Raw genomic sequence first — 20,826 nt, forward strand, 5'->3', positions numbered from 1 at the left:
AGACTGAAGCCCTGTGCTCAAGTATCTCTGAGCCTGGTAAGTTCTGCCCACATCGTTCAGACTGCTCTCAGCTATTTTTCTTTTCTCACCTGGATTATCCAGGTATGCCCTAAATGCAAATCACAAGTATTCTTACAAGAGGGAGGCAGAGAGAGATTTGATAGAGAAGAAGAAGGCCTTGTGACCACTGAAGCTGGATGCTATGCTGCTGGCTTTGAAGGTGGAGGGAGGGGCCAGGAGCCAGGGAATGTAAGGAATGCAGCTCCAAGCTAGAAAAGACAAGAAAGGGCAGGAAAACAGGTCCTCCCCAGAGCCTCTGGAGACGGTGAGGCCCTACTGACATCTCCATTTCAGCCCAGTGAAACTGATTACAGCCTTCTGACCTGCACAATTGTGAGACAGTCAATATGTGTCATTTTAAACCATCACATTTGTGGCAATTTGTTATGGCAGCCACACGCAACTAATTCTCTTTTCATTGTTTCCTGATCTACCATAGAGTAGTGGTACTGATAAACTCTCCCTAATAGTTGTATTTTGATCATTTCTTCTTGACTTTTAAAATGTGAATATACAGTGCCAGTACTGTGTTTCTCAGCATATGAAGGCTAAGGACCATTTTTACTGCTAATACCTTTCATAACACAACATGACTTTTATTGCCACTTTAAGGCTCCTTGAGTTGATGCCTACATTTTCTTCATATTGAAATAATCGTTTCCTCTGTCATGTGAACTTTCCTGTCTATCTTTCCCCAGTCTTTTATTTTAAATTGTAAAAGAGCTCTCCTTAATATTTATTTCTTGTATCATATCCTATTTTTGCTTCCTATTATAAGACTTTGCTTTGATATAGCGGAATTTAAACTGCCAACATTTATCATCATAACGAAAATGCTTGACCCTTATGCCTCTCATCTTGCTTTGTTAGGCTTTCCATTGTATACTTTACTGTAGCTTTCTTTTATATTCATGTTATTTGTACGATGGTATTTTTAAAAATTATACCAATGAATACTTTTAATTTTTAAAATATCTATTTAAATGTGTTCTCTAATTATCTAAGTCCAGAATAAAGCAATTATTTTGACTCCTTTTTACATAAGACTTAAAATTTATTACACTTTATCTCTTCCTATGCACTTGATTATTTCCTAGTCTTTGTTAATTTACTTTCACATTATAGACCTAGATCGACGTATATTATCATTGCTATTTTTAATAAAGTAAAAATTATTTGAGATTTTTTTTCTCTTTTTAGGCCATTTTAATGTAACTCATTTATTCATCCAATAAATATTTATTGAGGACCTATACTATGAGCCAGATGCTGAGCTAAGAAGTGGCAGAGCCTTAGTGATCAAGACCACACAGCCTCTGCCTAGGCCTCATGGGCTGTGGTGCTGTGTGGTCTCTGTGTTCGATCCATTTCAGTTCTCACCTACCCTGTGTTCAGGCCACCCTGAACTGGGCTTGGTTCTTTAGAATCACCGTACCTACCATGTTACCAAGCCACCATGCCCTAAAGCCACCATGCCACTATGCCCCTATACCACCATGCTACCCCATTACCACACCACCATGTCACCACGCCACCATGCCACCCATGCCATCATGTCACCATGCTACCACACCATCGTGCCATCATTCCACCATGTCACTATGCCACACATCAACTCACCACCATGCCACCATACCACCATGACATCATGCCACCATGCTGCAATGTCCCCATGTCACCACCTCACCACACCACCATGCCACCACATCATCATGCCACCATGTTACCATGCCACCACATCATCATGCCATATCACGTCACACACCATCATGCCACCATATCACCACATCATTATGCCACCATGCCACGATACCACCATGTCACCATGTCACAACATCACCATGACACCATATCACCATGCCACCATATCACATCTTGCCACAATGCCATCATGTCACATCACCATATCACCATGCCACATCACCATGCCACCATCTCACCATGATATGGTGAGATGTTACTTACTGTACCACTGTGTCATGATGCACCCTGTCATACTGAACTATGTTATCAAGTTACCACACCACCATCTCACCCTGTCACCATCCCACCATGCACCATGCCACTATGTTACCTGTCTCCTGGTAGGTGTTTGCCTGTTTATTTCCCTCTTGTCCCTTGGACTGTGGGCTTCACAAGGGCATGGACCTTTCTGGTTTTGTTCAAAATTTTGCTTACTAGCACAATGCCTTGGCACCTTGCAACCATTCAATAAATGTTTATTAACTAAAGGGGTGACTAAGTAAGGTGCTCTTTTTTTGGTAATTAATTCTTTATATTGATTGCTTTTATGTTGGCTAGAATATCTCTTAACTAATTATAAAAGAGAATGTGAATGGTCATTTTCTAATCCCCAATGTAACCAAGGATGACCCTGTGTTGTAAAAGTGTGGCTGGGTATGATAGTCTTTGTACCTAACTTTGACTCAATTTTTACCTCTTAGAAGTGTGTGAATTTGGGGACATCATCCCCTGGCTTTTGCAGAAATGTCTGATGTCAGATTAATTTTTGTTTGTTTTTAAATAATCTGCCCTCTTTTCTCTTTTGTCTAAATATATGTGAATTTTTATCTTTTTCCTTTAAAAAAATCCCATGTAGTGTGTTGGTCTTGCCTAGTATATGGTGAGTGTTCTTCCCCCTGTGGATTAAATGTTTGTTCTACCCAGAGAAGTTTTCATGAATTACAACCTCCCTTGAACTACCCTGTCCACGTGCAGGTGGCCAAGTGACCTTCCCCCACCCACCACCATGTCGAGAACTAGAGCTCAAAGATATAGAGGAGGAATAAAGGTAGATGAAAGTAGGAACACCGCTGATAGCTTCAGAGATAGTCCTTGTGCAGTGACCTTGTGCAGTGAGAGGGTGTCCGCTCTGTTTTCTGATTAATGTGGACTCAAACAAAGATCACCCAGGGGGTCAAAGTCTTTTCCTACCTTCTCTGGGACCTGCTATGCTGATCTCATGCAGCGGACTTGGGGGAATTCCCTGTGTTCCTCAATTAAACCCAAGCTCTGCTAAAATATACAAATAGTCATCCTAAACTCTAGGTCCAACATTGGCCTAGAAACTCTAGGTCCTAATTTTCCAAGCTGTTAGATGTTTTTATTTTCCGGATTTTTTTTTTTTTTTTTTTTTTGAGACGGAGTTTCACTCTTGTCGCCCAGGCTGGAGTGCAATGGCATGATTTCAGCTCCTGCTCACTACAGCCTCTGCCTCCTGTGTTCAAGCGATTCTCCTGCCTCAGCCTCCCAAGTATTACAGGTGGGATTACAGGTGGCCACCACCATCCCCAGCTAATTTTTGTATTTTTCGGAAGAGATGGGTTTCACCATATTGGCCAGGCTGGTCTCGAATTCCTGACCTCAGGTGATCCTCCCACCTCAGCCTCTTAAAGTGCTGGGAATACAGGCATGAGCCACCATGCCCGGCCTGTTTTTGGGATATTTTAATGGAAAGTGATGGAGTATGAATCCGGCCTGCTCAGGTAGCTCTAGGTCAGCCATGAAATCTACGTCCTGATAAGGAGCCTGGAGAGGCTTCCTCAAATCCCCAGGCCATGGCATTGCCAGCGCAACACTTGCATCTCCTGACTTAGCCCAGCACTGCCAAGCAGACCTCATGGGTGTCCTTCTGCCACCTTCGTGCTTCCTCCATCCTGGTCTCCCTGTCTGTTTACATCAGTGTTTCTCTTGGCCCAGGGCAGGGTCTCTTTATCTCACGGCCTCTGTGGTCCAGTTAGTTAGGAGAGAGTTTTGAGCAGGTGCAATTAGTGTGGAGTCTCTGGGGCCTGCACTCACACACGCGGGATCCTGACAAGCCCTGAGTCCTGGAACAGCCGCACCCTGCAGTAGCACCCACGGAGCAGCCTTTAGGCCCTGATGCTCCTTTCAAACAATCAGAAGCTTCTGTGGGCCAGAGCCGTCCATAGGGCCTTTGAGAGCCTGGGGAGGTAGAAGGGAGAGTGAGGCATCCATAGCAGTGTCTGCAGGGAAAGGGGGGTTTACCTGTCCCCTGGCACAGTTAGATGTGTAGCTCACGCTTTGACTATAGGATGCTCTTATGTGTCCACACTTCACAAAGCACAGGGCAGCTCTGTGTTGTTGCCCAGAAGAAAATGAACCCCCCCCCGCAACTTCCACTATATGAATTCTCTGCATCGCTGCCTCTAGGCAGCAGGACAGCCAGCAGTAAGCTGCAGACATCCCACCATGCTGCAGCTTGCTGTCTGCAGCAGGAAGCCCCACATACAGCCTGACAGTCAGGCCAAGCCATTTGGCCATTCACCAGTGCTGCAAGCTCAGGCAGGTTGCTTAACCTGTCTCAGTTCCTGCTTCTGAGAAGTAAAGCTAATGGGGTCTATGTCATGAGATTACTGGAAGATTAAGTAAAATAACAAGCATCAGGCAGCTGACACAGAAAGTGTGCCTGAGAGGTGGATGGATGGCTCCCTAGCCCCTCTCTTTGTCTTCTGGGCTGAGCCCCTCCCGATCCCCACAGGGCAAAGGCTGGCTGATTTTCAGTAGTTTAAGCTGGTGTGTAGCAGCTAAACTCCACATTTCTAGACCGTTTGAACAGGAAACCTGAGATGAGGGAGCGTTTGAATTGGCTCATGCAAAAAACAATATTTGCTGGAGGTTAGCTGCTGCATTATGAATTTTTAACCTCCCATAAATCAAACTGTAAAAATGGACAAAGGCTGAGTTTCCTGTGCCAGGACCAAAATAGACACCGCCTGCGTCTCTTAGACAATTCCGATTATGTTTCCACAACCAAATCATGCTGAGATGAATAGCTGGAATATTTATATTTAGGTCCTAACGTATAATGTAAAATAAATGAAAACAGTCTATCTTCTTGGCACTGAAATTGTGCCACCATATCCATTTACAAAGACGATAACTCAAAGACCAGGCTGTGCAAAGACCATCATGTGCCTGGGGCGGGATTTTGCTTCTCTGCTCCCATTGCTTTTCCCTACGACCGTCGTCACCAGATACCCAATACTAAATGATTAATAGAAAATCCCCAGCGGGATCAGTCCACAGCAAGGTTTAAAGTGAATCCTTTTGTGAATGCTTTATACTGACAAATACAAATGCTTTAAAAGATCCAGGAGATGGAACCTTGTAACTGCAGAGGATGGTATTTTAACTAAAGAAAGCTTTTATTAATTTGACAAACATATCTTTCCCTGGCAACTCCTATGAGCTACAAACTTAGACGAATATCATAACAACTAAGAGATTTTTATTCTTTCAATTTAGTGGTAAAGGGAGGTATTAAAGCACCTGATTTACTATGAGGCAGAAAGAAACATGAGCTCGAGTGTTACAAGCAAATGTTACAGACTTCTAGAAGGAAAGACCGCACCAAAAAAGTGAAGTTGGAGCTGAACTTTAAAGGATGATAAAGGTTTTAGTATGGAAAATAGAGCTCCAGAGGCCAAGAGAAATGTGGCTACACTGAGGTGAAACTGGCAATAGGGTGTGGAGTGAAAGTATACGATACAAAAAATAAACTGAAAGCAAGTATGGGCCAGGCACAGCGGCTCACGCCTGTAATCCCAGCATGTTGGGAGACCCACGTGGGAGGATCACTTGAGGCCAGAAGTTTGAGACCAGCCTGGCCCACATGGCAAAGCCCTGTCTCTACTAAAAACACAAAAATTAGCCAGGAATGGTGGCACACACCAGTAGTCCCAGGTACTTGGGAGGTTGAGGCAGGAGGTTCGCTTGAACCCAGGAGGCAGAGGTTGCAATCAGCCTAGATCATACCACTGCACTCCAGCCTGGGTGACAGAGCAAGACTCGGTCTCCAAAAAAAATAAAGCAAAGTATGAAGCAATTTGGAATAAGGAAGATAGAGCCTTATAGGAGACTGGAGGTTTTTAAAGGCTTCTAACAAAAGGGCTGATGTGATATCAGCAGTGTGAATGAATCGATTCATTCACTTAACAAATATTTACCTAGCTCCTCAGTGAGGGATGGAGTGGTAGGTAACAAAACCAATAGGCTCCTGCCCCCATGGACCCACAGTTTCATGGGGTGACAAGCATTAACAAATAAACCTGTAAGTAAATGTATTAGGTTGATGCAAAAGTAATTGTAGTTTCTCCATTACTTTTAATGCAATTACTTTTGTGTCAACCTAATATAATTACAGGCAGAAGAGAGAACTAGGTAAGAAGGGTGCTTAGGGTGATGTCCAAGGAAGCAGGGAGCCCTGACTAATACTGGGGGTTGGAGAGAGGAGAGAAGGCATTGCTGAGGACCTGGCATCCACACTGGGTCCTGGGGGGTCAATGGAGTTGGAAAGCAGGGCTATGCTGGGGCCAGGGCTGCAGCAGAGATTGGAAGCATTCCAAGTGCAGGACTAGGAACAAAGGCCTTTTGGCAAATGAAGAGGTAGGCATTTTCAAGAAAACAAAAGAGAAGAGAGTGGCATAAGATAACTCCAGGGGGATGGGACATCTGCAGGGCCTGGCAAGGCACATTCAGGATTTTATTTTTATTTATTTATTTATTTATTTATTTGAGACGGAGTCTCACTCTGTCACCCAGGGTGGAGTGCAGTGGTGAGATCTTGACTCACTGCAACCTCCACCTCCCAGGTTCAAGTGATTCTCCTGCCTCAGCCTCCCGAATAGCTGGGACTGCAGGCATGTGCCACCACACCCGGCTAATTTTTTGTATTTTTAGTACAGATGGGGTTTCACCGTGTTAACCAGGATGGTCTCGATCTCCTGAACTTGTGATCTGCCCACCTCGGCCTCCCAAAGTGCTAGGATTACAGACATAAGCCACCATGCCCGGCCCAATTTTTGTATTTTTAGTAGAGATGGGGTTTCACCATCTTGGCCAGGCTGGTCTTGAACTCCTGACCTTATGATCCACACACCTTGGCCTCATAAAAGCGCTGGGATTACAGGCATGAGCCATTGCACCCGGCCACATTCAGGATTTTAATCAGGAAGTGCAAGGGGAAGCCACTGTCTGGAGTGATAAGATCTGGTTGGTTGAATAACGTCCCTCTGGCTGCTGTATGGAAGGTGGATCTCAGAGGAGTGAGTCTGAAAGACATTGTGGTGATCCTGAGGACTATCATCTGATTTTTTTTTATCTTGTCCGAATTTCTATCTCAAGGGTCTGGGGAGTCATGTTCTACAAATCATAAATTCTCATCAGATGGGTTTAATTTAACCCTATATAGGATGACTTACTTTCCAACCTGACTCTGGCATAACATTATGAGACAAGGAAGAAAATCAAAATATTTTACCCCAAAACATGTTTCTTTGCCATATCTTGAAATGGCCCTGCAAAGCTGTCCTTTGTGGGGGAAAATTTGCATCTATAAAGAATCTCTATTAACCTAGCTAGTTCTTTTTCTTCAAGACCCTCCCAATCCTAAAGAGATTAACTAAAAGTCTAGCACCTTCTAAAGATCTGAATAGGAAACATTTGTCATCTGTTATCTCTAAAGGGCAGCCACCATAAGACTTCAAAAGAACCTTGGTCTTCACAATCTTTTATCTTAACCCGAACATTTCCTTTCTGTGATCCCAGGTCTTTAGATAAACTCAACCAATTGTCAACCAGAAAATGTTTAAATTCACCTATAGTCTGGAAGCCCCTGCTTTGAGTTGTTCTGCCTTTCTGGATCAAACCAACGTATTTCTTTAATGTATTTGATTGATGTCTCATGCCTCCCTAAAATGTATAAAACCAAGCTGTGCCCTGACCACCTTGGGCACATGTTCTCAGGACCTCCTGAGGGCTGTGTCAGAGACCATGGTCACTCATATTTGGCTCAGAATAAATCTCTTCAAATATTTTACAGAGTTTGACTCTTTTCATTGACAATGTGAAGGAGATATGCAGCAGTTTGCACAGAGCAGTCCTGGTGAACCAGGAGGCAAGAGGGCAATTTAAGACCTCCTTCAAAGTTACAGCAGACAGATCTTGCTGATGGGTTGGGGGTTGGGAGCAGTAGAGGAGGGAAAAGTCAAGGAGATTCCATGTTCTGACTTGAGCCACTGAGCAGAAGGTGGTAGTTTCCCAGAGATGGAAAAGCCTAAAGTAATGTTAATGCGTAGGCTGCAGGTGAGAGGTCAAGAAATCAGCTTGAGATTTGGAAACACTGAATGCCTATGAGACATCCAATGCAGAGGTCAAGTGGGCCATTCACAATATGAGTCAGAAGCTCAGAAAAATGAAAACAACCACAGATCATCTGGGAGGAGGGCAGAGTAGAGGCAACAGCTAGAAAGGGCAGTTTCCATCTTGGCTTCCTGTGCCTGGGATCTGCCCCAGCTGACCTTTCCAGGAAGTCTCTGGTGGTCACCTGCCGACCTTATCACAAAGCTCTCCAAAACACATCAACCTTAATTTCAGGTTCAGGTTCACCCAAGAAGAAAAACAGTAGGCTTTTGTCTTATATCCTTTTGCAATCACTTACCCTTCTCCAAATCTGGGCCCCAAGCAATTATGAGTTTACTTTCTCTTGCGATAGCTTAGCTTTGCCTGTTCTCCTCCTCGGTTCTTTGAATGTGCCTATAATAATCTCCAACAGGTTTCTTTGATATTATGACAAATTCTAGACACATCCTGCATTTTCCTTGACTGCAGAATCTGTATTAACTCTTCTCAAGAGCCCTGGTTCCTTTTTGTGGGAAATGATATGTAGAGACCACAATCTGGGTTCAAAGGGTGCTAATTAATAGTGATTCATTGTTACTAGGCCTTTTATAAAGCTAGGAAATTTCTGACTGGGCGTGTTGGCTCACGCCTGTAATCCCAGCACTTTGGGAGGCTGAGACAGGCAGATCACCTGAGGTCAGGAGTTTGAGACCAGACTTGCCAACGTGGTGAAACCCTGTCTCTACTAAAAATACAAAAAATTAGCTGGACGTGGTGGTGCATGCCTATAATCCCAGCTACTTGGGAGGCTGAGGCAGGATAATCACTTGAACCTGGGAGGCAGAGATTGCAGTGAGCTGAGATCACACTACTGCCCTTCAGCCTGGGCAACAGAGCGAGACTCTGTCTCAAAAGAAAAAAAAAGGGCTAGGGAATTTCTAAAAATTAAGATAAAACACTTCCTAATTCATACTGCTAGCTTCCGATCCAGATTCTGGATATAGGCTTTTTACTAAAATTGATTAATCTTACTTCTATTCTTTTTTCTCCCACACAGAAAATTCTGGTTCTCAATGACACCAGCATCATTACTGATTTGCTTTCTACTCACACACAAATAGCCTCCAAATAAGAATGCCAACACTATCACCAAAAAGGTAATTGCTGAAAACTGTTTAAGATCTTTAGCAGGTTTTTGGTGGGAAGGGCTTGGGGGTTTGGGAGGTTGGTTTGGCTTTTTTTTGTTTGTTTGTTTGGTTGTTGTTTTTTTTTTTGGTCCTGACATTATATCCCACTTGGAATGTATACTGTAATTACCATATTTGGAAACCACTTGAAATAGTTTCTCTTTGTGTGGTACGACATCAAATGCATACATCATGAAATTTGTTCTATTTTGCCTTCTATTTTTATGAATGGTTTTAATGGTGGTTTTGTTTTGCAACTATGTAAAAATATGTACATGTCCCAAGTCAAATTCCAAAAACAAGACATATTCAAAGAATTTTAGCTTCTCTACCTGCTATCCCTTTCCTCTAGTCAAATTCCAAAACGAGATATATTCAAAGAATTTAGCTTCTCTACCTGCTATCCCTTTCCTCTGAGATAGCGTTTTTTTAAGATTTATACCAGCACTGTTTTTACACATGCACATGTGCACACACACATACACATATTCCTTGTATTAGCTCATTTTCCTACTGCTATAAAGAAATACCAAAGACTGGGTCATTTATAAAGGAAAACAGGTTTAACAGACTCAGTTCCACCTGGCTGGGGAAGCCTCACAATCATGGCGGAAGGTGAAGAAGAAGCAAAGACACGTGTTACATGACGGCCGTCAAGAGAGAAGTGCAGCATGAAATGGGGGAAGGCCCCTTATAAAACCATGAGATCTTGTGAGAACTCACTCACTACCACAAGAACAGTTTGGAGGTAACAACTCCCATGATTCAATTACCTCCCACCAGGTCCCTTCCACAACAAGATGAGATTTGAGTGGAAACACAGCCAAACAATATCATTCTGCCCCTGGCCCCTCCCAGATCTTATGTTCTTACAATTCAAAACATAATCATGCCCTTCCAATAGTCCTCCAAAGTCTTAACTCACTCCAGCATTAACTCAAAAGTCCAAGTCGAAAGTCTCATCTGAGACAAAGCAAGTCCCTTCAACCTATGAACCTGTAAAATCAAAAGCAATTTAGTTACTTCCTAGATACAATGGGGGTACAGGCATTGGGTAAATACACCCATTCCAAATGGGAAAAATTGGCCAAAACAAAGAGTCTGCAAGCCCTATGCAAGTCCAAAATCCAATAGTGCAGTCATTAAACCTTACAGTTCCAAAATGATCTCCTTTGACTCCATGTCTCACATCCAGGGCACACTGATGCAAGAGGTAGGCTCCCATAGCCTTTGGCAGCTCTGCCCCTGTGCCTTTACAGGGTACAGCCCCTCTCCTGGCTGCTTTCACCGGCAAGCATTGAATGTCTGTGGCTTTTCCAGGCGCATGGTGCAATCTGTCAGTGGATCTACCATTCTGGGGTGTGGAGGACAGTGGCCCTCTTCTCACAGCTCCACTAGGCAGTACCCCAGTGGGAACTCTTTGTGGGGGCTCCAACCCCACATTTCCCTTCTGCACTGCCCCAGCAGAGGTTCTCCATGAGGGCCTTGCCTTTGCAGGAAACTTCTGCCTGGACAGCTAGGTGTTTCCAAACACCCTCTGAAATCTAAGTGGAGGTTCCCAAACCTCTGTTCTTGACCTCTGTGACCCTAAAGACTCAACACCACATAGAAGCTCCCAAGATTTGGGGCTTGTACCCTCTGAAGCCACAGCTGGAGTGGCTAGGATGCAGGACATCAAGTCCTGAGGCTTCACACAGCAGGGAGGCCCTGGACACAGCCCAGGAAACCATTTTTTCCTCCTAGGCCTCCAGGCCTGTGATGGAAGGGGCTGCTGCAAAGGTATCTGACATGCCCTGGAGACATTTTCCCCATTGTCTTGGTGATTAGCATTTGGCTCCTCACCACTTATGCAAACTTCTGCTGCCAGCTTGAATTTCTCCCCAGAAAATGAGTTTTTCTCTCCTAGTGCATCATCAGGCTGCAAATTTTTCAAACTCTTATGCTCTGCTTCCTCTTGAATGCTTTGCTGCTTAGAAATTTCTTCCACCAGATACCCTAAATTATCTCCCTTAGGTTCAAAGTTCCACAGATCTCTAGGGCAGGGCAAAATGCCATCAGTCTCCTTGCATAGCAACAGTGACCTTTGCTCTAGTTCCCAACAAGTTCCTCATCTCCATCTGAGATCACTTCAGCCTGGGTTTTATTGTCCATATCACTATCAGCATTTTGGTCAAAGCCATTCAACAAGTCTCTAGGAAATTCCAAACTTTCCCACATCTTCCTGTCTTCTTCTGAACCCTCCAAACTGTTGCAACCTCTGCTTGTTACCCAGTTCCAAAGTCGCTTCCACATTTTCAGAAATCTTAATAGCAGTACTTCACTCTACCAGTACCAATTTACTGCATCAGTCCATTTTCATACTGCTATGAAGAAATACCCAAGACTGGATAATTTATAATGTGTAAAGGAAAAGAGGTTTAATGGACTCACAGTTCCACATGGCTAGGGAGGCATCACAATCATGGCAGAAGGCAAAGGAGGAGTAAAGCCATGTCTTACCTGGAGGCAGGCAAGAGAGAAGTGCAGCATGAAGCAGAGGAAAAGCCCCTTATAAAACCATCAGATCCTGTAATAACTCACTATCACAAGAACGGTATGGTGGTAACTGCCCCCATGATTCAATTAACTCCTACTAGGTCCCTCCTATGACACATGGAGATTATGGGAACTACAGTTCATGATGAGATTTGGGTGGGGACACAGCCAAGCCATATCATTCCTATTACCTTTCTGAGATATATGGAAGCATATTGTATGTAAACATATTGTTCTCTTTGTTCTCATTGCCTAATATGACTGCACTGTGGCCTCTGATCCTCTTCCTTCCTTTTACACCCTAATGCTCCATTACATGGAAGCACCACTGTTATTCAACCAGTCATCCATCCATGAAAATTTGTCATTTGTAATCTTCCATTATTATAAATAGGGTTGCAATAAATAGTCTTGATCATTTGTCTTTTTGTATTTCTGCTAGCACCACTCATTTTTAGGGCACTTACTACATTCCAGGCCTTAATAATATACCGGCGGGAAGACATAAATCCCTGCTGCTATGATCGAAATATTTGTCTACCCCCACTCCTAAATGTATATGATAAAATGATGGTATTAGAAAGTGGGGCCTTTGGGAGGTGAGGAGGTCATAAAGGTGGATCCCTCATGACTGGAATTAGCATCTTTATAAAAGAGACCCTAGGGAGCCACCTCACCCTGTCTGCCATATGAGAACACAGCCAGAAGGCATCATCTGTAAACCAGGAAGCAGGTTCTCACCAGATACAGAATCTGCCAGAACCTCCATCCTCCAGAACCGTGAGGACTAATTTTCTGTTGTTTATAAACACCTAGAGTGTGGTATTTTGTCATAGCAGCCCAGATGGACTAAGACACCTGCCCTTAAGAAGTCCTCATTCTTTTGGGGTTGGGGGAAGAAGGACATTACAGAGAATCTGTTGGAATGTGGTAGGGGCTCTGAGGAAAAGTAAAGCTGGGTAAAGGGGATAGGAGCCATGGGATGGGGGTGGGCGTTCTAGCCTATTCAGATAAGTCCCCTCGGATAATAGGGCAGTTCAGCAGAAACCTGGAGGAAGTGAGGGAGTGAGCCACAAAGGCTCCAGGAAGAGGAACAGCAAATGCAAAGAGAAGCACACCTGAAATAGGAACAAATCATAGGCCAGTGAGACTGCAGCAAAGTGAGTGAGGGGAGGTGGTGGGAGAGCAGATCAGAGGCATGGCTGTGGCCTGGATCATGAGGCTCACGGAAGGGTATGGTGCATTCCAGAAGGCCCAGGCACAGGTAAGGCAGGCAACTGTCTGGGAGCCCCAGCCCCCATACCCAAGCACCCAAGCCCAGCACCACACTCCCGACCAGCTCCCCAAGACTTTGAAACTTCAAGCCCATTCCCATCATCTGTGGCACTGGCCCTGCCTGCTCAGGCCTGGGTAGCAGAGTGCACAATACATGGAATGTCTGGGCAGGCCACCATGGGACAGAGCACAGAGGACACCCATACAGCAGCTGAGAATGACCACAGGCCCTCTGGACCCAGTCGCCGGCTGCTCCCAAAGCTGTCTGCTCCTTCAGTGTCCAGCTATGCCATCTACCCCAGAAGATTCCCCCTTGGCTTGATGACCTGGTTGCAGCATTTACCTTGGTACACAATTTGTATTGTTTTAGGTGATTAAAAGTAATTCTCACCAACTCCACATGCCATAAGCCTGGGTAAGAAATGCCCCACCTGGTGCACTCCCAGGCCCCAAGCCCTATGCTAATTGACTATTCAAGGCATTCTCTGGCACCCACTCACTCACTATGCCTCAGTTCCCACCTGTAGGTTAGCAAATATGTCATGGGACACCAGGTAAGCGTGACTTTGTTGAGGAGTTAAGCTGAGGAGGAAAACTGAAGTCAGGATAGGCATACAGTGGGTTCTCTGACTTTTGAATCCTTTTGGCCCTGGTTTCCTCATTTAAAGGGATGAGGATAAAAGACTGGTTCCTGTATCATAGGATACATACATATCATAGGATAAATGTTAACTGTCACACATGTAGTGGAGTGATGTCTAATATACACTATGTGCAGAAAATGTGTTACACGATGACAGTGATTTTTATTATCATTACCATACATGGTGTCTTAGTTCTTTTGGACTGCTATAGAAAAATATCATAAACTGGGTAGCCGATAAACAACAGAAATATATTTTGGATAGCTCTGGAGGCTGGGAAGACCAAGATTAGGGCACCAGCAGGTTCCATGTCTGGCAAGGGCCCATTTTCTGGTTCTGAGACAGCACCTTCTCACTGTGTCCTCATGGGGTGGAAGTGCTGAGGGATCTCTTAGGGGCCTCTTTGAGAAGGGCACTAATCCCATTTGTGAGGGCTCCAGTCCCATGACATAATCACCTCCCAGAGGCCCCACCTCCTAATACCATCACCTGGGGGTTAGGTTTCAACGCTAGAAAAAGTCAAACTATACCAGCGACTAGAAGAATTTCATAAAATTCTGGAAAGTCTGTCACGTTCTGATAGTGCTGCTTCTCTCCTCCTGGGGGTCATGCGTAAAATGCCTCAGCCATTCCGAGAGCCAGTGAGGTGATCTGCGGAAGAGAGGAAGAGCAGAGCTGGGCACAGCATCCCCTCCACTTTGGAAGAGAACCCTGATGGACAAGGGAGTGGTGGTGATGCTCTCAAGAGGTGTTGTGAGGGAAAGGGTGAGACAGAGTGCAGACAGAGGGTGAGGCAGCGCCAAAGGACAGATTTGAGGGTTCCTTTTAAAGACTAGATGTGCCAGCCAGGTGCGGTGGCTCACGCCTGTAATCCCAGCACTTTGGGAGGCTGAGGCAGGTGGATCACCTGAGGTCAGGAGTTCGAGACCATCCTGGCCAACATGGTGAAACCCCCTGTCTACTAAAAATACAAAAATTAGCCAGGTGTGGTGGTGTGTGCCTGTAATCCTAGCTACTGGGGAGGCTGAGGCACGAGAATCGCTTGAACCCAGGAGGCAGAGGTTGCAGTGTGTTGCGATCGCACCACTGCACTCCAGCCTGGGTGACAGAGTAGGACTCTGTCTCAAAATAAAAAGAAACAAACAAACAAACAAAAAAACACAAAAAACAAAAAACAAACAAAACAAAGAAACCCAAACTAGATGTGTCTGTTAAAGCCACATTAACAAAAGCAAAACCTCTGCAGGGATTTCAAATAGAGAGAATGCAACGCGGGGCTCTTACTGCACAGCTGGCAGAGGAGGTGAGGAGCCAGCAGGGCAAGCTGAGTAACCCGGGGCTGGCATGTCTGACAGTCACAGCCACCTTGCTGGAGAGAGGCTGGGCAGTGGTGATGTTTGGGGCCGGAAAGCTGGGGCTGGAGATGGAGTGTGGTGGGCTGCCTTTGGGAGCTGCTGCCAGAGACCCAGCAGTGAGCAGAGAGGTGATGCGGACCAGCACCCCCTCCTCCCGCTCATCCCTAATCTTCCTCTGGGGCCTACCATTGGCCAAACCTGCCCAGGAGCCTGGGGTGAGTGGGCCTGAGGAATAGAAGAGCCAGAACTGTGGATGGACAGCTCTATGGGAGATTTGACAACTTTAGGGGTAGGATGAAGGAGGTGAGAATCAGAGCCATGGGGTCGGGGGACGGGGGTCAGAGACGTGGCCGGGGTGGGTCTGGCTGGAGGAGCAGGAAGCCTGTTCTAGCAGTTGGAGCAAAGCTGGCGTTTACAGGGAGAAGGTGCTTCACCCTCAAGGGAGCTCAGAACAGGCCCTGGGAACGCTGGCCTGGGGTCCTGGGTACGCTGGCAAGGGTCCTGCAGAGGTTTCCTCGCTGCCACTCCCACAGGAGGGATACTGATATGGTTTGGCTGTGTCCCTACCCAAATCTCATCTTGAATCCTAGCTCCCACAATCCCCATGTGCTGTGGGAGGGACCCGGTGGGAGGTGATTGAATCATGGGGGCAGTTTCCCCCATACTGCTTTCATGGTAGTGAATAAGTCTCATGAGATCTGACGGTTTTATAAGGGGAAACACCTTTTGCTTGGCTCTCATTCTCTCTCTTGTCTGCTGCCATGTAAGACATGTCTTTCACCTTCCACTGTGATTGAGGCCTCCCCAGCCATGTGGAACTGTGGTCCATTAAACCGCGTTTTCTCTATAAATTATCCAGTCTCGCGTATGTCTTTATCAGCAGCATGAAAACAGACTAATACAGATGCTCCGCCACCTCACCTCTCGGAGGAGAAACTGAAGCCTGAGACACCAAGCTCACAGCCCCAAAAGTGGCCAAATCAGGATGGAATCCAGGTGCAGATGATTCCAAAGATCAAGCCCCTTGGAGCCACACATCCTCATACACACACACCCTCCCACCTTCTCACTCAGGTGCACTCACAGCCCCTGGCCCCCTGGCACACTCACACTCACACATGTTCACACCCCTCGAACACTCAGCACATCTCCTCAGTCACACTCATGCCACAGTCGCCCACCTACCCCGGGGGTCAGAGTTGCCCTTGGCACAGCCCGGCTGTGGGAAAGGGCCCAGTGCTCTAGGGCTCTCCTGGAGGAAGCTTTCATTGAAGACCAGACCTGGGGCATGCGGCGATGTCCCCACTGTTCGTGAGGTTACTGCAGGGGTTTCCGACTTGCCCCTTTGCACAAGGACAGGGCCAGTGCTTAGCACATGGTGCTTAGTAAACAGATGATGGAGGAATGAATGGGTGAAGCCAGGCGTGTCTGGGAGGGAGCCAAAGCCCCGAGGCAGAAGAGAAGGAAGGACAGACGTGAACTTGCAGGGTGGGTGGTATGTGCAAAGAGGTGGTGGAATGTTTATTATCCTGAGACCTGGGGTGGAAAGTCCTTTGAGACAGACGCTGGTGTTTGTTCAGGATCCTCTCTAGGTGGGTGGGTGGGGGCAGCTGTGTCCCCTGAGGGCTGCACGTGGGCAGGCACCCTGCTTCAGAGGAGGGAAAGCTGCCCCACCTGAGAGTGAGGGAGAGAAAGGAGGAAGAGCAGGGAAGACCAGGGGAAGTGGGGAGAGGGAGGGGAGGCAGGCAAGGGGCTGGGACTAGACAGGGAAGATGACTTCAAGGAACGAGCTCTCCAGGCGCCTGACAGCACCAAGCTGTCTCTATTCAGCTTCTGCACCACTGCCATGCAAGACCCTTCCAGAAAAGTCTTCTCCACTCATGAATGGACATCCTAACTGACCTCAGCTTGGGTGGTGGGAGGGGGATGGACGTGAGAGAGATAAAGGAGGAGCTGAATTTCATGCTGGGACCATGATGCATAAACAGTTGTGTTTGCTTCACTCCACAAAGGCAGACACATTCAGGGAGGGCGTTCTCAGTAGAGGAAGAATAATGGCAGCTCATAAAATATCATGGAAACTGACAGTAGTGTCTTCCAGGCAAATTTGATAAGCCTGTTCCTAAAATAAACTTAATTCAAAAGGAACACGGGCAGCAGAATGTGAATTATCTTTTAACTTTCTTATTATTTTTCTGGCGCTTCATTCTTTTTACTCAAGATGCTCTAGTAGTAGCTCGTTTTGCCTTTACAAGGAGCAAGGGACTCCAGACTGTCAGCATCTAGCTGAAAAACTGCTTCTGCTTGGGTAGTCCTCAGTCCTCCCAGAGCGTGCACAGCACAGCGGGGAATTTCAATCGCTGCAGGTGCCCAGGGCTTCAGCCCTGGAGATTCAGGATCAGTTTACCTGGGCTGGGAGACCTGTACTTTTAAAAAGCTTCAAGGTCCTTCAAATGGGCACTCAGAACCAAGAACCATGCTGTTTGGTGCTGAAGCTAATGCCACTCCACCCAAAGCCTCAAAGGTTGCTTAGATACCCACACACTTCTGCTGAAACAAGCTTCCAGAAAGGAATGCACAGATGAATGTCGTTAACAAGGCAGGCCAAATGTTTTGAGTTCAGAAGTATTTTTTCTTTCTTTTTTTTTTTTTTTTTTTTGAGACGGAGTCTTGCTCTGTCGCCCAGGCTGGAGTGCAATGGCACGATCTCATCACACTGCAACCTCCGCCTCCCAGGTTCAAGCAATTCTCTTGCCTCAGCCTCCTGAGTAGCTGGGATTACAGGCACGCGCCACCATGCCTGGCTACATTTTGCATTTTTAATAGAGACAGGGTTTCACCATGTTGGTCAGGCTGGTCTCAAACTCCTGACCTTGTGATCCACCTGCCTCGGCCTCAAAGTGCTGGGATTACAGGCGTGAGCCATCACACCCAGCCAGAGTTCAGAAGAATTTTAACCCAGTAACTGAATTTTCTTTTTACAAATGTAATGATCTTTAAGGTAGATGGTGTGGTAGCAGGGGGTTCTGGGAGGTTTGGCTTAATAATATGGAATATCAAAATGAGGGGAGAAACTGAATAAGGGTGTGTTTATGCTTACATTAATTATTTGTAAGTGTATCTATATAGCTTTAAATAACTCAAGTTGTTTTTCTTTTCTTATTCAAATACCACGAAATCCAAAAGCTATGAATTCTCTGAAATATGGACTAATGCTTAGAATGTTACACCTTCCTTTCCCCTTCCAAAGTGTCGTTACTACTTTGATAGAAGCTGTAGGCACAGGCTTCATAAGTATAATCATATCACTTTCATTCATAGCCAAGAAAAAATTGAGCTTCTTATTGAGAGTACATGTCACTAAGAATCCAGCTTCTGCAGAGGGGGCAGGGGGAAGGTTTTCTGCTTAGTCCCAAATTGCTTTGGCCATGATTGGATTTCAGTGTGAAAAATTGAGGCAGCCTGTTCAGGGTGAGATAGGAGGAAGAGAATGTGGAGCCGCTAGTTGCTGAGCAGCTGTGAGACAGTCAGCATACAGGCCATGCCTCATTTTCCCATCTACAACCAGGGGTGATTGCAGTATGTGGCATCCAAATGCTGACCACTCTACAGCTTCCACCCTGCGGTCTCAACAGTACTGGGGACCTGAGAACAAGACAGAGGTGAGCCTGGTACAAAGCTTCAGCCACACACCTACTCATCTATGCTGTCATACTCACTTGGCCCTAGCCAGAACCACAGATGACATCATCCCGGGTAAATTAGCATTATTTCCACCATTACTCACCTCTGCCTGCCCTCTTGCCTTCTCTTCTAGGAAGTTACGTATCTGAAAGTGGTAATTAATGCAAGTGAGAGATCTGGTCACTTAAATGTGTGTGGCACCTCTCCCCTCTCCTCTTCCTCCTGCTCTAGCTATGTGAGACGTGCCTGCTTCCCCTTTGCCTTCCGCCATGATTGTAAGTTTCCTGAGGCCTCACTAGAAGACACTATGCTTCCCGTACAGCCTGCAGAACCATGAGCCAATTAAACTTCTTTTCTTTATAAATTACCCAGTCTCAGATATATATATATATATATTTTTTTTTCTTTTTTTTGTGTGTGAGACAGAGTCTTGCTCTGTCCCCCAGGCTGGAGTGCAGTGGTGCCATCTCGGCTCACTGCAAGCTCCGTCTCCTGGGTTCACGCCATTCTCCTGTCTCAGCCTCCTGAGTAGCTGGGACTACAGGCGCCCACCACCATGCCCGGCTAATTTTTTGTATTTTTAGTAGAGATGAGGTTTCACCGTGTTAGCCAGGATCAGTCTCAGATATTTCTTTATAGCAATGCAAGAATGGACTAATACACATGCTTACTTTCAAAAACTTAAATATATGAAAAGTATAAGAAAAAAATTAAAAGGATGGATACTCCCAAAGTAAGAAGATCATCTTTCTTTACATGTTGATGCACTTTCTTGTAGCCTTTGGTCTAAACAGGCCTCTCAAACATCGCTGGGTCCTCCTTGTACATGGGTTCTCAGGAGGTACCAGCACTATTTGTTCCCCAATTCTCCTCGCTCATTTACTCTCACTCTCCCATTCTCCCCAGTTGATTTTGGGCATCCACAAGGGGCTCTCACACAGGGGAAGAAGTGACTTTCACACCAGTCATCTTGTGATTTCTAGGGCACAAGCAACACTCCTCAGCACCACGGCCACTGCCATCCAAGAAGACATCACCCCCCTTCACCAAAGAGCCCCTATAGCAGCCCCAAACCGGCAAGGGCCAAGCAGAACTGTGCTTTCTTCAGGCCCTACTCAATCATGGCCCAAGTCTATAGTTCTGCAGGAGAGGGAAAAAACATCCCTTGTCCCAATTTATTTTGAATTTTGTCATCTGTCTTTGGAAAAATAGTCTCATAAATTTTACCTTGCACTCCTCCCTCCCCAGTTCCCCCTTCAAAGGCCTTGCCAGTTACTCAGGAAAGGAGACACATACTTGAGAAGTGGGGTGTTGGGGTAGGGGGCAGGGATGCCACCAGCTCCACAGTCAATCTCTTTACTTCTTTTTAAATATATTCTTAATTGACAAATAATAATTATATATATTTATAGGGTACAATGTAATGTTTTGATTATATATACATTATGGAATGAATTAATCCAGCTAATTAACATATCACTTCACATACTTATTTTGTTGTTGTGAAACATTTAAAATCTGTTCTTGGCTGGGCACAGTGGCTCATGCCTGTAATTCCAACACTTCAGGAGGCCAAGAAGGGAGGGTCACTTAAACCCAGGAGTTCAAGACCAGCCTGGGCAACACAGTGAAACCCCACCTCTACAAAAGAATACAAAAATTAGCCGGGTGTGGTGGTGTGCAGTTGTAGTCCCAACTACTCAGGAGGCTGAGGTGGGAGGATTGCTTGAGCCCAGGAGGTTGAAGGTGCAGTGAGCCGAGATTGCACCACTGCATTCCAGCCTGGGTAACAGAGTGAGACCCTGTCTTCAAAAAAAAAAAAAAAAAATCTTTGAACAACTTTGAAATGCACATTGCATTATTAACTATAGTCACCGTGCTATGCAATGGATCGCAAAAGCTTATCCCGTGCTGAAACTTTGTGCCCTTTGAGCAGCCTCTCCATAC

General features: G+C 45.7%; 1 long non-coding RNA gene across 1 annotated transcript in view, besides 3 other annotated features; it reads left to right on the forward strand.

Annotated features, from left to right (window-relative positions):
• The window catches only part of LINC01173 (long intergenic non-protein coding RNA 1173), a 35,097-nt gene that overhangs the window by 3,725 nt on the left and 10,546 nt on the right, over positions 1–20,826 (forward strand). The window contains exon 2 of the long non-coding RNA NR_132376.1: positions 9,257–9,356. This is a non-coding gene — a long non-coding RNA (long intergenic non-protein coding RNA 1173). The remainder of the gene's footprint in view (positions 1–9,256; positions 9,357–20,826) is intronic.
• Positions 1,464–2,089: an enhancer, noted in NCBI's record as "H3K27ac hESC enhancer chr2:235596500-235597125 (GRCh37/hg19 assembly coordinates)". NCBI's record gives its function as "activates a minimal SCP1, AML or CMV promoter by ChIP-STARR-seq in primed H9 embryonic stem cells {active_cell/tissue: H9 hESC(primed)}" and the evidence as "EXISTENCE:reporter gene assay evidence [ECO:0000049][PMID:30033119]".
• Positions 5,833–6,127: a silencer, noted in NCBI's record as "tiled region #2610; HepG2 Repressive DNase matched - State 5:Enh". NCBI's record gives its function as "represses a minimal TATA promoter and a strong SV40 promoter by Sharpr-MPRA in HepG2 cells {active_cell/tissue: HepG2}" and the evidence as "EXISTENCE:reporter gene assay evidence [ECO:0000049][PMID:27701403]".
• Positions 7,946–9,145: an enhancer, noted in NCBI's record as "CDK7 strongly-dependent group 2 enhancer chr2:235602982-235604181 (GRCh37/hg19 assembly coordinates)". NCBI's record gives its function as "activates an origin of replication core promoter dependent on BRD2, BRD4, P300/CBP, MED14 and CDK7 cofactors, with strong dependence on CDK7, by STARR-seq in HCT116 cells {active_cell/tissue: HCT116}" and the evidence as "EXISTENCE:reporter gene assay evidence [ECO:0000049][PMID:35650434]".

This window comes from Homo sapiens, chromosome 2 (assembly GCF_000001405.40).
Source record: "Homo sapiens chromosome 2, GRCh38.p14 Primary Assembly".
Classification (NCBI taxonomy): domain Eukaryota; kingdom Metazoa; phylum Chordata; class Mammalia; order Primates; family Hominidae; genus Homo; species Homo sapiens.